This window comes from Homo sapiens, chromosome X (assembly GCF_000001405.40).
Source record: "Homo sapiens chromosome X, GRCh38.p14 Primary Assembly".
NCBI classification, from domain to species: Eukaryota; Metazoa; Chordata; class Mammalia; order Primates; family Hominidae; genus Homo; species Homo sapiens.
In genome coordinates, this window is record NC_000023.11 from 37,570,963 (window position 1) to 37,586,690 (window position 15,728).

At 41.8% G+C, this 15,728-nt stretch overlaps 1 protein-coding gene across 3 annotated transcripts in view; it reads left to right on the forward strand.

Annotated features, from left to right (window-relative positions):
- The window catches only part of LANCL3 (LanC like family member 3), a 112,803-nt gene continuing 97,773 nt past the window's right edge, over positions 699 to 15,728 (forward strand). For 2 of the 3 annotated variants that reach the window (NM_198511.3, NM_001170331.2), the window contains exon 1: positions 699 to 1,481. In NM_198511.3, coding sequence (NP_940913.1) covers positions 909 to 1,481 — 573 coding nt within the window. In that variant the 5' untranslated portion in view covers positions 699 to 908. Of the gene's footprint in view, positions 1,482 to 1,542; positions 1,906 to 15,728 lie in introns of those variants that run through there. The other variant, XM_011543904.3, reaches the window with a different exon arrangement.

Below are 15,728 nucleotides of genomic sequence, written 5' to 3' on the forward strand. Positions count from 1 at the left end.
CCTTCCTTGCCTTAACCTGGTGTGGTTCTTTGACTTTTTACTCCTGTATACTCGAAGAAAACAATACAAAAATCAAAGCTGGGAAAAAAGTTCCTGTATGGGGTATTTCACCGTTTTAATGCATTAAACATGATGTGCTCAAATGCCCCAGCCTTTGGGATTGAAACATTCATAATGAGAACTCCGAAGCGACCAAGATGAAATACAAACTTCAAAGAAGGCGCCCAGTTTTGTCTTGCTACTCTAGCCTAGTTCAGTGGCGCCTCAAACTTTAATGTGCATGCGAATCACCTGGCAATCTTGCTGAATATTCAGATTTGGAGTCAATAGGTCTGGAGTGAAGCCTGAGATGCTGCGTTTTTAACATGCCCCCGGGTGATGCTGATGCTTCTAACCCAAGGACCACACTTTGAGTATACAAGGGACTGGAGACCATCACCTCTACCGCCAGGTGTGTGTATGCTGAGTCCCAGCGTTCCAGATCAGTGTCCCGCACGTCCTCGGCCTTCTGCCAGTAGGGGAGGAGTCGGGGGCGGAGCGGGAGGAGTGGCGCGGGCCCCGCGTGGGTCCTGCCAGAGATCACCTCGGCCCCTTGAAGAGGCAGCCAAGCTGCGGCGGCGCAGGAGGGGGCGGGTTCAGCGAGGGCGCGGCCTCTGAGGGGGGGCGCAGGACACGCATCCCCCGCGATCGCCCGGGCCACTCGGGAGCCTCGCGGCAGCCCGGCGCCCCACTTGGCCATCCGCTCCTTGCCCGCCTCCTCTTGTCACCTCCCGTCTCATCCTTCTCGCTCCTTCCCCGCCGCATACACCGGCATCCGAGTGCCTCAGAGAGCCGGAGGTGGTGTGCGGGGCTGCAGGGCACGACTTCAAGCGGTCCTCAGCTCCGCACTAGGGGGCACGGGCAACAGCATGGACACCAAGCGCTGCTTCGCCAATCGCTTCGATGACTACCAGGGCAGCCTGCTGGCGGGCCAGTGTGAGGAGGCGGTGGCGCCCTTGGTCACCGCCACCATCGAGCGCATCCTCCAGGAGCTTCCCCCACTCGGGGGCGGCGCGGAGGCCCGAGGGGCGACGGCGGGGGCTAGCGCCTGCCAGGGGGGGCTTTATGGCGGCGTGGCCGGAGTGGCGTATATGCTCTACCACGTCTCGCAGAGCCCGCTTTTCGCCACGGCCCGGGAACGCTACCTGCGCTCGGCTAAGCGCCTCATCGACGCGTGCGCCCGCGCTGAGGAGTGGGGCGAACCGGACGCCGACACCCGCGCCGCCTTCCTGCTCGGGGGCGCGGGCGTGTACGCCGTGGCCACGCTCGTATACCACGCCCTGGGCCGGTCCGACTACGTGCAGCCGCTGGGCAAGTTCCGGGCTCTGTGTGCCGTCTGCGCGCCGGTCTCCTTCCTGGAGTGCGGCTCCGACGAGCTGTTCGTGGGCCGCGCGGGTTACCTGTGTGCCGCGCTGGTGCTCAAGCAGAAACTCGCCCAGGAGGTAAGAGGTAGCCCGGGCCGCGGGAGGGCGCTCGCCGCCTGCCCGGCCTCCTTTCCCCGGACTCCGTGGCTCGGGCAGCACTGTCCCGAGTTGCTCTCCAAGTCTTTGTTACTCTTGGTGTGGTGCTAGCATTTCTTCAGTCCCTTGAGGTCTATCTCCTGCTTTTGTCCCTCTTCTTTCCTGTCGTTTTCAGTCTCTCATTTGTTGAGATTCGGCGTCTCTGCGCTTTGTTCGTGTTTTTACGTGGCATCACTCCAGATGCCTGTTAGCTTTCTGGGGGATGACAGTGTGGCCCTTTCAAGTAAGATGAAAACCTCAGAAATGGAAGGGATTTCCTTTCCTTTGACTCTGCTGTCAAAAGCTGAGGCATCCTCGAATGTTAGAGTGCTAGAAAGTAATGGAACTTTTCGGGGCCGATGTGGAGGTAAGTTGCTTCTGGAGCCCTGGGTCTGTAACCAAGAATAACTGCTCAGCTGTGGGTCTGATGTGTTTACTGTTTTGCTTACTATTCAGTTCAACCCATGGCTCTTATTAAATGCATATCTGATAGGAGTGTCCCCTTTAAAAATACATAAATGTAGACGGAAACGTACCCGGAAATGTACCCCATTGTGGTTGAATGTGCATTATTTCACTTAAAAATATTTGCTTAGGATGGGCAAGACCACAGCTTTCTTGACAGGGCAGCTTTTCTTGATGAATAACTTTACAGTGGCTCCTAAAAGTGAATTGGTTTTCACATACATATTTTTTCCTGGACTCACTTTGAAATCAGCATGTGGTTATTAGAAGAGAATATGCCAGTTCCTGTGGAGTAGGAAAAAGAACAAAACTCTGAAGGATCATAGTGACTAGAACGGAGAGAGAGGCACTTTCATTCATAATCCCCTGGAGCCAACTACTGTTCTAGGGAGGAAGTGACACATTTAACTTGGCTTTATTTAGGTGAGAAAGGCGTTTGAAGAAAAATTAAAGGTATATAGAGTGTTTTAAAAGAGTAATTAACTTAGATCACCTCTACAGAGGCAGACAGGGTTTTTTTTTAATAGCAGGTGAGGTTGATTCAAGTGAGAAAAAAGATTACTAAAGAATGTGCACTGTGTTAGCTGGGCAGCAAAGGTTTATGTCACAAAGTTGTCTTGAAATAGTTTGCTCTGCTTCTGAGTCACTGTTAACTGCCAGCAGTTTTTCAAATGCCCTTCCAGTTGTAGAAAACCTTTTAGAAGGCCACAGAGATATTTACATATCATTTGCATTGCATTTGCATCTGCTCCCCTCACCTTGTAGTCTGGCAGCAGGCAATTTTCAAATTTTTTTTTCCAATTGTTTTCCTTAATCTTGCCTCTTCCCCTTTCCATGCCTTGAGGCCTTTTTTCCAGAATGGAATGGGAAGAGTGTGTGACCACTAGATCACACAGGTGGAAGCAGACCAGAAGGACTCTGCCCAAAAACTGGTGGTTCAGGCCATTCTGCAACACTGATCCACACAAGACATCTATTAAGACCTCTCTTCTGCCCTCCTGCCAAACCAGGTCTTTTTTTTTTTTTACTAATCGAGTTGAGGTGCTTTGGCCCCTGCTCCCAGGAGATGGAACAAGCTTCAAGGATAGCAAAAAAAAAAAAAAAAAAAAACCCACCACCACCACCAACAAAAACAGGTCTTAACCTGAGCCTGAGCAAACCAGTTAGTTCCAGTGCCAGCTGCAGCTGTGTCAATTCAAGACTTTCTGGCTTGAAAGGTGTAGGGCAGGGGCTAAGCATGCCAGGCTGGAAGCCCTTTGAGGGGAAAGTAGAAGTTTTATACCCCATCCCCTCCCCGCAAATCCTAGCCAGCACAGGACTTTGTCCTCAGTAGGTGATCCATAGACCTTGATTAGATTGAATTGCGAATTTGTGTCATTTCTCTATAAATAATCTCTCAGTATGTCCTGGGTTTCTTCCCCTCCGATGTCATTTATATTCACATTCCTCTGGCAATTCCCTCAGTTATCGCTCTAATTTAGATCCTCCCCACATTACTGGGCACATCTTTGCCACCTAATAAATAGTTGAATGAATGAATCACCATATATTGGGATTAGTGCAATATACTTTGAGCTAGAATCTCCCACTCAAGCCGTTCCATCTACCTCTAAGAAACAAATATTTCAAAAGACATTTTTCATCATGTTATTTCCCTGCTCAACATACTGCAGTGGCTCCCTATTACTTTTTCTCCAGTGGCTTGTCATCTCACAAAGTTATGATTCTTAAAAATAGCCGAGAAGGCCCCACATGATCTAGCCTCCTACACTCCTACTCTACTCCTTGCTCATTCTTCTTCAACCACACTGGCCATCTTCCTGTTTTAGTTACTTTCCTGTCTCAGGCTGTTTGTTCTTACAGTTCTTTCTACTTGGAACACTCCCTCTAGATATTTATAGCTAGATCTCTGACCTTGTATAGGTGTGTGTGTGTGTGTGTGTGTGTATGTATATATATATATATATAATTTTTTTTTGAGACAGAGTCTCACTCTGTCACCCAGGCTGGAGTGCAGTGGTGCAACCATGGCTCACTGTAGCCTCGACCTCCTGGGCTCAGGCGATCCTCCTACCTCAGCCTCCCAAGTAGGTGACACCACAGGCATGTGCCACCACACCCAGCTAATTTTTTGTACTTTTTGTAGAGACAGAGTTTCACCACGTTGCCTATGCTGTTCTGGAACTCCTGGGCTCAAGTGATCTGCCCGCCTCAGTCTCCTAAAGTCCTGGGATGACAGTCATGAGCCACTGTGCCTGGCCTTGTATAGGTCTTTACTTCCTCAATGAGGCTTTTCCTGACTACCCTATTTAAAATTGCAACCCCACCCTCAACTTATCCCCCTTTCGTGATTTGTTTTACTTAAATTGTTTATTTATGTCTTCGCTGATTAGAATGTAAGCTCCATAAGGGTAGACATTTTTGGTTTCATTGATGTTCATTGCCAAGACTGCCTGACACATTTTTAGATGCCCAGCTTTGTGTGTGTTTGCAAATATCACTCAATTTTAGTGGTGTCCCATTTATCAATATTTTCCTTTACGGTGGTAGTTTTGGTGTCATGTTTAAAGAAATCCTTTCCTACTGCCAAAGTTTCAGTAAATATTTGTTAAATGAATGAATGAATGAATTATAGTTTCTTCCAATTATTTTTCATGGCTTAAGCTCAACCAATAAAGCAGTGCTTCTTAAACTTTAATGTGCTTAGGAATCACCTGCAGATCTTGTAGAGCTGCAAGTTCCTGGGTGATCCTGATGTTGCGGTAGAGCATGCTTTGAATAGCAAGGCAATACTGTGCTGCATAGGTTTTGGCATTATACCTGCCACCTCTATTAAGGCATACTATGAGACGCCATTCTATGAAGCTTGATATGTTTATTTAAAAGGTCTATAGTTTAGAATGCTGATTACTATATTCTACCTTTCACTCTAAAGACCCACAAGAGGAATTGCTCTCAGATTGTAGAGACAGTAATAGTTGTGTGACTCCTGGCAATTGATTGAATTTTTAAAATCGTCAAAATATGTCATGTAACTGATTCTATTTCTCACTTTGTGTTGGCTACTAGGGAGTGTATGGCTAGAATTGTGGTCCATATAAGCTAGCGTACAGTACCTTAGCAGATCTATATTTATGTGTGGACATTTCCCCTGGGTTTATCTAATTTGTTTCTTCCTTAGTTTACCCTTTTCTAGGTTCTTTTCTTTTTATTTGATTTTGTTGTTTGTATTTATGTTTATAAGGTTCAGATATAAGAAAAAGATGTATGTGTATGTGGCAAGAGACAGAGAATCCCTCTCTCCAGGCATGTATTTTCACTTAACTTGGCCTTCCTGGAATAGTTCCAAGGGTTTCTTAGGCAGATATCCTTGAGCAATGGGGCATTGAAGTCTCAAGAAATCATGCCATAAAAACTTATATTGGGCCCATTCGGCTTTCCACTGATTGGTGGAAATGTAGCAGACAACGGCAGAGGGATTCTGGGGAGACCTAGGATCTCAGTTAAAATAATAATTCTGCCACTGAGTGATCTTGGAAAAATATTTTAACATCGTTGAGGCTTAATTTCCTCACCTGTAAATTGATTAATAAGAGCTTCTTCGTTGACTTGTTCTGGTTTTCATTCATTCATTCAGTAAATGTCAGGTTTCTACATGGTGTGAGGCAACTTACTAGATGCTTGGGTTCAGTAGTGAACCAAAAATAAAAGTCTGTTGGTGAAGAAAAAAATAACATCAGTCTTTTTAGATAAGTGCTCTTAGGGATGTAATCAGGAACTAACTGAGGACAGGTGGCAAAGGGGAGGGCTGCTGTTTGGTAGGAAAGCTTCTCTGTGGAGGCAGCGTCCTGGCTTATCACTAGAGCATGGGAACCAAGTGGCTGCTCTAAGAACAGGCATTCCAGGCAGAGGGCAAGAGCCCCTAAGGTAGGAAATGACTTGGACATTTCAAAGAAATAGAAGGAGGCTAGCATGGCTGGAGCAGAGAGAGAGCAGGGGATAGAGGAGTTTGAAACCATGGAAGGAGACATGAGCAGGGTAAAATCAGATCCTGGAGGCCCAAGTTAGTCAAAGTTAGGAGTCTGCATTTGTTTCGTGTTTAAAGGAGGAAATATCTTGATCTGACTTACCTTTTAAAAAGATCGCCCTGGTTTTCTGTATTAAGAGTGGATTGACAATATTAAGAATGATAACAAGGGGGACTGGTTATGGGGGGTCTAAACCCCTTTTGTGCCAAGGACTCCTTGTCAGTCTGGTGAAACCTACAGGACCTCGTCTTAGAATAATATTTTTAAATGCATAAAATAAAACACACAGAATTACAAAGGAAGTCAATTATATTGCAACCATGTTACCAAAACATTTTTAAAATGTGTGAGCAGTAGCGTATGTGCTCCTTTATCAACACATTAAATAAGATTTTACAGCAGGCTAAAGGATGATGATACTTTTGAAACAGTGATGAGAGTCAATGATATTTTGAGATACCTTCCACAGCTACAGTGTGGTATGCATCTGTGATTTCTGTAGGTGACAAAGTTACAAGTACAACTAGTGGTTTGTAGTTTACATTTGTAACGAAATGCTAATTTGTTTAAGTAAGCTAGGAAACATGTAGATGTGATTTTATTTCCCCAGCCAAAGGAGACTGGTTTGGAAGTTGCTGTGATGACCAGTCCTAGATAAAGTACCTAGTACAGTGCTTGGCACATAGTAGCTGCTAAATGGAATCAATGGTAGCCTTTTTCGCTACTACTAACAGAAAACCTAAGGTAATTCTGAATATCAGATAGAAAATGATACTTAATATGACGTATCTATCTTCCTGCTGTGATTTGAAAACAACAACAACAAATTATTGCAAAGTTGTTAATTGGGTCTTTGGCTCATTTCTAAGGCAGGTGGTTGGCAGCTGTATAAGGGGCAATGCTTTTAGCTGTAAATAACAAAATGCCCAATAAAAAGTCATCTAAATAATGAGAACATTTATTACCTCACTTAGCAAGGAGTGGAAAACTAGGCCACTCCAGGATTGTTTCAGCAACTCAGGAGAGTTATCCAAATCCAAGCTCTTTCCAGGCGTTTTCTCTGCTATTCTCAGTGTTTGAGCTGTTTCACCTTTCAATGTTGTAAGATGGCTGCTGTCATTGCAAACATAGTGTTCCCCTAACTGAAGTGGTGAGGGAAGGTCTGAGGCTTTTTTTCCCCCTGCATCTTTTTCTAAAGTCATGTAGAACATTCTATCCTGGAAGAATTTCCCTCTGACTCATTGCCCAGCACTTGGTCATTAGCCAGTTCTAGTTTCAGGGAGGCTGGGAAGGCTAGTGTTTTTATTTTTAACCTTGATCATTGACAGGTACCGACACGAAAAAAGGGAGAAGGAAATGGTTGCTGGTTGGTTACCAAAGCATCTGCCATTTGGCGTCCCTTGGCAAGGTCTGTCTTGTGACCTCCTTTATCCATTCGCTTTTCATCTCTTTGGTGTTTCTTTTCCCTTTTCCAGGTCACCTCCATGTGTCATGACACCTGTAAGGTATCTTGTTTTTGCTGTCAGCTAGTTGCCAATTAAATAAAAGCTAAGATATTAACTATTAATTAAGATTTAAACTAGCAAAGTTTGGGGAATATATTTTATGGCAGCAACTGTGTTTTTCCTACCTTTTCTTAAAAATTATTTCTCTCATCAAAGATATAAAACAAAATGAGTCTTTATTTATTAAAAATTTGTTTTAGGCCAGGCACGGTGGCTCATGCCTGTAATCCCAGCACTTTGGGAGGCCGAGGCGGGCAGATCACATGAGATCAGGAGTTCGAGACCAGCCTGGACAACATAGTGAAACCCTGTCTCGACTAAAAATACAAAAATTAGCTGGGCATGGTGGTAGGTGCCTGTAATCCTAGCTACTCAGGAGGCTGAGGTAGGAGAATCGCTTGAACCCGGGAGGCGGAGGTTGCGGTGAGCCGAGATTGCACCACTACACTCCAGCCTGGGCGGCAGAGTGAGACTCCATCTCTAAAAAAAAAAAAAAAAAAAAAAAATTATTTTAAAAGTTAACATGTTTTTTCTTTTTTTAGAACAGTCTATTCCATAAAATACCTGTATTTTATCCACTTATACAAATTATCATATTATACATATATTACACAGCTTGCTTTCTTGCTTAATGTACATTGGACATCTTTGCATATTGTATAGAGAGATGTAACATGTAACATTCTTTATACTGGTTCCATTTAATGGTTATACTATAACCCTTATTGATGGACATTTGGGTTGATTCCAGTTTTTCTCCTTTTTTTGCTATCACAAATAGTGCCATAAATAATATACATGCATATACATATACAGTAGTCCCACCGTATCTGCCAGGGATATGTTCCAAGACCGCCAGTGGATGCCTGGAACCACGGATAGTACTAAACGCTATATATACTACTTTTCTGATCTGATACCTGAGACACTTACTAAGTGACCATGGGGCAGGTGGTTTACAGAGTAGATATGCTGGAAAAAGGGATGATTCATGCCCCAGGTGGGAAGGAGAATGATGTCCCCAAATTTTATCATACTACTCAAAATGGCATGAAATTTAAAACTTATGAATTGTTTATTTCTGGAATTTTCCTGGTAGTATTTTTGGACCCCGGATGTCTGCTGGTAACTGAAACCACAGAAAGCAAAACCTTGGATAAAAGAGGACTGCTGTAAAATGCATATATACATATATAATGTATACATGTAATATATATGTGTGTATATGTATATATCTTTTCATATATGTATTTTTGCCTACTTTTGCAAGTATCTATGTAGGGTAAATTTTTAAAACACAATTGCTGGGTCAAAGTTTACCAATATTTTTTATTTGATAGAGGATTATCAAATTGCCCTCCAAAAATGTTCTACCAATTTCTATTGTCTCCATCAGCATTTGGGAGTGCCTGTGTTCTCACTGGGTTTCATCAGAGTTTTTAATATATGCTAAACTGACGAGTATAAAATTAGGATGGAGGTTTCCAGGGTAGAAACTGAGTCCCTTTATTGTTTCTTTCAACTTTTACCAAACAAAATGCATGTGTAGGATTTCATTCAGTCTTTGGATTTGAGCGGTTCCCATTTTTAAGGCAGGTGTGTGTTTCATACTGTGTAAGTAAAGCCTGAAGTTTGGCTTGAAATGGCAGCAGGGTTGGGCAAGCTGGATTTTTGTAGGCTGGGTTCAATTCCTAATTGCCTGATTACAGATCTACCAGGAAGCAGGCACTTCTATGGGCTATGGCTTAGACCCTTTGTTATGCATGACCCAGAACCCAGTGAATGATAAAATGCAGTGATGTAATAAGGACTAACGATGACTGATCACTTATTTCCACACACTGTTGTAAGTTTTTTTCATGTATTATGTCACTTTTCAAAATGTACCTAAGTGTAATTTTGTTTGTTAAAATTTTTTATCTTTAATTCACAATCATTATATATATTTATGGAGTATAATGTAATGTTTTGATACATGTGTACATTGTGGAATGAGCAAATCAGGCTAATTAACATATCCATCACCTGGCATACTTATCATTTCTTTGTGGTGAGAACATTTAAAATCCACTTTTAGCAACTTTGAAGTATAGAATACATTATTATTAACTATAGTCACCTTGCTGTGCAGAAGATCATCATAACTTATTCCTCCTGTGTAACTGAAACTTTGTACCCTTTTACCAACTTCTCCCCTTTCCCTCCCCATTTCCCCCCACCCACCTCCAGCTTCTGGCAATTACCATTCTACTCTCACCTTCTATGAGTTTGACTTTTTGAGGTTCTACATATATGTCACATAATACTACCAACAACTTTATAACATGGGCAACATTATTATCTCCATCATATCCAGTAGGGAAACTGAGGAACAGAGAGGTTGAGAAACTTGTTCCAGATCACACAGCTAGTCAGTGGCAGAGATGGGGTTCCATCTTCCCCAGGCTGGTTGCCAAATCTGTGATTTCAATTGGTGATCCTCATATTTTAATGTGCATACAAACCCCAGGGATCTTGTTAAAAATCAGCTTTTAGCTCAGTGAGTCTGGAGTGTGGCTCATGATTCTGCATCTCTACTGAGCTTCAGGTGATGCCGCTCTTGCTGGTTTATGGAGCAAACTTGAGCACAACACTCTGAATTACAATTTTTTTCCCCAATTTTATGGGGTTGCCTGTCAACAAATGTAACTGCTCCTGCAAACTTCATGATTTTCATCATTTTTTCTTGTACTGAGGATGACTTCTTCCACAGGTGCAAGAATACCAGCTCTCTGGTTTGTGGGTTATACTGAAGGAAAGAATCACTTCCTGCTGCATCTCCTTGTAGGTTTAAGGGATATGTTGACATCTATTGAATGAATGAGCAAATGCATGGATTTCTTTTTCCTAATAGATGTAATTTTTCACTGTATACAGCAAGTTTTTCAAATTCCTTTAAAGGCCCAAACAAATCACATCCCAGCAATTTTAAATTATTTCATGGTAATTCAAGAGACACCTTATTACATCATTCCCAAACAGAAAGCATGAGCCTGATAATCATGATACCAAGCCTATTTTAGAGTCATTCCACTGATTTTACCTGTTTGACGTAAAGTAGTGCTTCTCCTCCAACTCTAAATCAATTTAAACTTAAAATGATCAGACATCTTCCTTTTTATTTTCTAATCACAATGATTTAACAGACCTACTCAAAATAATTTAGAAAGCTTTAGATACAGTCTATTTATGTCTTTTCATCTGTTAATATACATTCCACGAAAACCCGAACTTATTATTTGTATTATAATTTTTTTATTATACTTTAAGTTCTAGGGTACATGTGCACACTGTGCAGGTTTGTTACATATGTATATACGTGCCATGTTGGTGTGCTGCACCCATTAACTCGTCATTTATATTAGGTATATCTCCTAATGCTATCCCTCCCCCGTCCCCACATCCCACAACAGGCCCTGGTGTGTGATGTTCCCCTTCCTGTGTCCAAGTGTTCTCATTGTTCAGTTCCCACCTATGAGTGAGAACATACGGTGTTTGGTTTTCTGTCCTTGCGATAGTTTGCTGAGAATGATGGTTTCCAGCTTCATCCATGTCCCTACAAAGGAAATGAACTCATCCTTTTTTTATGGCTGCATAGTATTCCATGGTGTATATGTGCCACATTTTCTTAATCCAGTCTATCATTGATGGACATTTGGGTTGGTTCCAAGTCTTTGCTATTGTGAATAGTGCGGCAATAAACATACGTGTGCATGTGTCTTTATAGTAGCATGACTTACAATCCTCTGGGTGTATACCCGGTAATGGGATGGCTGGATCAAATGGTGTTTCTAGTTCTAGATCCCTGAGGAATCGCCACACTGTCTTCCACAATGGTTGAACTTGTTTACAGTCCCACCAACAGTGTAAAAGTGTTCCTGTTTCCCCACATGCTCTCCAGCACCTGTTGTTTCCTGACTTTTTAATGATCGTCATTCTAACTGGTGTGAGGGGGTGTCTCATCATAGTTTTGATTTGCATTCCTCTGATGGCCAGTGATGATGAGCATTTTTTCATGTGTCTTTTGGCTGCATAAATGTCTTCTTTTGAGAAGTGTCTGTTCATATCCTTCACCCACTTGTTGATGGGGTTGTTTGTTTTTTTCTTGTAAATTTGTTTGAGTTCTTGTAAATTTGTTTGAGTAAATTTGGTTGAGTTCTTGTAGATTCTGGATATTAGCCCTTTGTCAGATGAGTAGATTGCAAAAATTTTCTCTTATTCTGTAGGTTGCCTGTTCACTCTGATGGTAGTTTCTTTTGCTGTGCAGAAGCTCTTCAGTTTAATTAGATCCCATTTGTCAATTTTGACTTTTGTTGCCATTGCTTTTGGTGTTTTAGACATGAAGTCCTTGCCCATGCCTATGTCCTGAATGGTATTACCTAGGTTTTCTTCTAGGGTTTTTATGGTTTTAGGTCTAACATTTAAGTCTTTAATCCATCTTGAATTAATTTTTGTATAAGGTGTAAGGAAGGGATCCAGTTTCACCTTTCTACATATGGCTAGCCAGTTTTCCCAGCACTATTTGTTAAATAGGGAATCCTTTCCCCATTTCTTGTTTTTGTCAGGTTTGTCAAAGATCAGATGGTTGTAGATGTCTGGTATTATTTCTGAGGGCTCTGTTCTGTTCCATTGATCGATATCTCTGTTTTGGTACCAGTACCATGCTGTTTTGGTTACTGTAGCCTTGTAGTATAGTTTGAAGTCAGGTAGCGTGATGCCTCCAGCTTTGTCCTTTTGGCTTAGGATTGACTTGGCAATGTGGGCTCTTTTTTGATTCCATATGAACTTTAAAGTAGTTTTTTCCAGTTCTGTGAAGAAAGTCATTGGTAGCTTGATGGGGATGGCATTGAATCTATAAATTACCTTGGGCAGTATAGCCATTTTCACGATATTGATTCTTCCTATCCATGAGCATGGAATGTTCTTCCATTTCTTTGTATCCTCTTTTATTTCATTGAGCAGTGGTTTGTAGTTCTCCTTGAAGAGGTCCTTCACATCCCTTGTAAGTTGGACTCCTAGGTATTTTATTCTCTTTGAAGCAATTGTGAATGGGAGTTCACTCATGATTTGGCTCTCTGTTTGTCTATCATTGGTGTAGAAGAATGCTTCTGATTTTTGCACATTGATTTTGTATCCTGAGACTTTGCTCAAGTTGCTTATCAGCTTAAAGAGATTTTGGGCTGAGACAATGGGGTTTTCTAGATATACAATCATGTCATCTGCAAGCAGGGACAATTTGACTTCCTCTTTTCCTAATTGAATACCTTTTATTTCTTTCTCCTGCCTGATTGCCCTGGCCAGAACTTCCAATACTGTGTTGAATAGGTGTGGTGAGAGAGGGCATCCCTGTCTTGTGCCAGTTTTCAAAGGGAATGCTTCCAGTTTTTGCCCATTCAGTATGATATTGGCTGTGTGTTTGTCATAGATAGCTCTTATTATTTTGAGATACGTCCCATCAATACCTAATTTACTGAGAGTTTTTAACATGAAGGGCTGTTTAATTTTGTCAAAGGTCTTTTCTGCATCTGTTGAGATAATCGTGTGGTTTTTGTCTTTGGTTCTGTTTATATGCTGGATTACGTTTATTGATTTGCATATGTTGAACCAGCCTTGCATCCCAGGGATGAAGCCCACTTGATCATGGTGGATAAGCTTTTTGATGTGCTGCTGGATTCGGTTTGCCAGCATTTTTTTGAGGATTTTTGCCTCGATGTTCATCAGGGATATTGGTCTAAAATTCTCTTTTCTTGTTTTGTTTTTGCCAGGCTTTGGTGTCAGGATGATGCTCGCCTCATAAAATGAGTTAGGGAGGATTCCCTCTTTTTCTATTGATTGGAATAGTTTCAGAAGGAATGGTACCAGCTCCTCCTTGTACCTCTGGTAGAATTCGGCTGTGAATCCATCTGGTCCTGGACTTTTTTTTGTTGGTAAGCTATTAATTATTGCCTCAATTTCAGAGCCTGTTATTGGTCTATTCAGAGATTCAACTTCTTCCTGGTTTATTGTTGGGAGGGTGTATGTGTCGAGGAATTTATCCATTTCTTCTAGGTTTTCAAGTTTATTTGCGTAGAGGTGTTTATAGTATTCTCTGATGGTAGTTTGTATTTCTGTGGGATCGGTGGTGATATCCCCTTTATCATTTTTTATTGTATCTATCTGATTCTTCTATTAGTCTTGCTAGCGGTCTATCAATTTTGTTGATCTTTTCAGCTCCTGGATTCATTAATTTTTTGAAGGGTTTTTTGTTTCTCTATCTCCTTCAGTTCTGCTCTGATCTTAGTTATTTCTTGCCTTCTGCTAGTTTTTGAGTGTGTTTCCTCTTGCTTCTCTAGTTCTTTTAATTGTGATGTTAGGGTGTCAATTTTAGATCTTTCCTGCTTTCTCTTGTGGGCATTTAGTCCTATAAATTTCCCTCTACACACTGCTTTAAATGTGTCCCAGAGATTCTGGTATGTTGTGTCTTTGTTCTCATTGGTTTCAGAGAACATCTTTATTTCTCCCTCATTTCGTTATGTACCCAGTAGTCATTCAGGAGCAGATTGTTCAGTTTCCATGTGGTTGAGTGGTTTTGAGTGAGTTTCTTAATCCTGAGTTCTAGTTTGATTGCACTGTGGTCTGAGAGACAGTTTGTTATAATTTCTGTTCTTTTACATTTGCTGAGGAGTGCTTTACTTCCAACTATGTGGTCAATTTTGGCATAGGTGTGGTATGGTGCTGAAAAGAATGTCTATTCTGTTGATTTGGGGTGGAGAGTTCTGTAGATGTCTATTAGGTCTGCTTGGTGCAGAGCTGAGTTCAATTCCTGGGTATCCTTGTTAACTTTCTGTCTCATTGATCTGTCTAATGTTGACAGTGGGGTGTTAAATTCTCCCATTATTATTGTGTGGGAGTCTAAGTGTCTTTCTAGGTCTCTAAGGACTTGCTTTATGAATCTGGGTGCTCCTGTATTGGGTGCATATACATTTAGGATAGTTAGCTCTTCTTGTTGAATTGATCCCTTTACTATTATGTAATGCCTTTCTTTGTCTCTTTTGATCTTCGTTGGTTTAAAGTCTGTTTTATCAGAGACTAGGAATGCAACCCCTGCCTTTTTTTGTTTTCCATTTGCTTGGTAGATCTCCCTCCATCCCTTTATTTTGAGCCTATGTGTGTCTCTGCATGTGAGATGGGTTTCCTGAATACAGCACAGTGATGGGTCTTGACTCTGTATCCAATTTGCCGGTCTGTGTCTTTGAATTGGAGCATTTAGCCCATTTACATTTAAGGTTAATATTGTTATGTGTGAATTTGATCCTGTCATTATGATGTTAGCTGTTTATTTTGCTCATTAGTTGATGCAGTTTCTTCCTAGCCTTGATGGTCTTTACAATTTGGCATGTTTTTACAGTGGCTGGTACCGGTTGTTCCTTTCCATGTTGAGTGCTTCCTTCAGGAGCTCTTTTAGGGCAGGCCTGGTGGTGACAAAATCTCTCAGCATTTGCTTGTCTGTAAAGGATTTTATTTCTCCTTCACTTATGAAGCTTAGTTTGGCTGGATAGGAAATTCTCGGTTGAAAATTCTTTTCTTTAAGAATGTTGAATATTGGCCCCCACTCTCTTCTGGCTTGTAGAGTTTCTGCCGAGAGATCCACTGTGAGTTTGATGGGCTTCCCTTTGTGGGTAACCCGACCTTTTTCTCTGGCTACCCTTAACGTTTTTTCCTTCATTTCAACTTTGGTGAATCTGACCGTTATGTGTCTTGGAGTTGCTGTTCTTGAGGAGTATCTTTGTGACGTTCTCTGCATTTCCTGAATTTGAATGTTGGCCTGCCTTGCTAGGTTGGGGAAGTTCTCCTGGATAATATCCTGCAGAGTGTTTTCCAGCTTGGTTCCATTCTCCCCATCACTTTCAGGTACACTAATCAGACGTACATTTGGTCTTTTCACATAGTCCCATATTTCTTGGAGGCTTTGTTCGTTTCTTTTTATTCTTTTTTCTCTAAACTTCTCTTCTCGCTTTATTGCATTCATTTCATCTTCCATCACTGATACCCTTTCTTCCCGTTGATCAAATTGGCTACTGAAGCTTGTGCATTCGTCACGTAGTTCTCGTGCCATGGTTTTCAGCTCCATCAGGTCATTTAAGGACCTCTCTACACTAGTTGTTCTAGTTAGC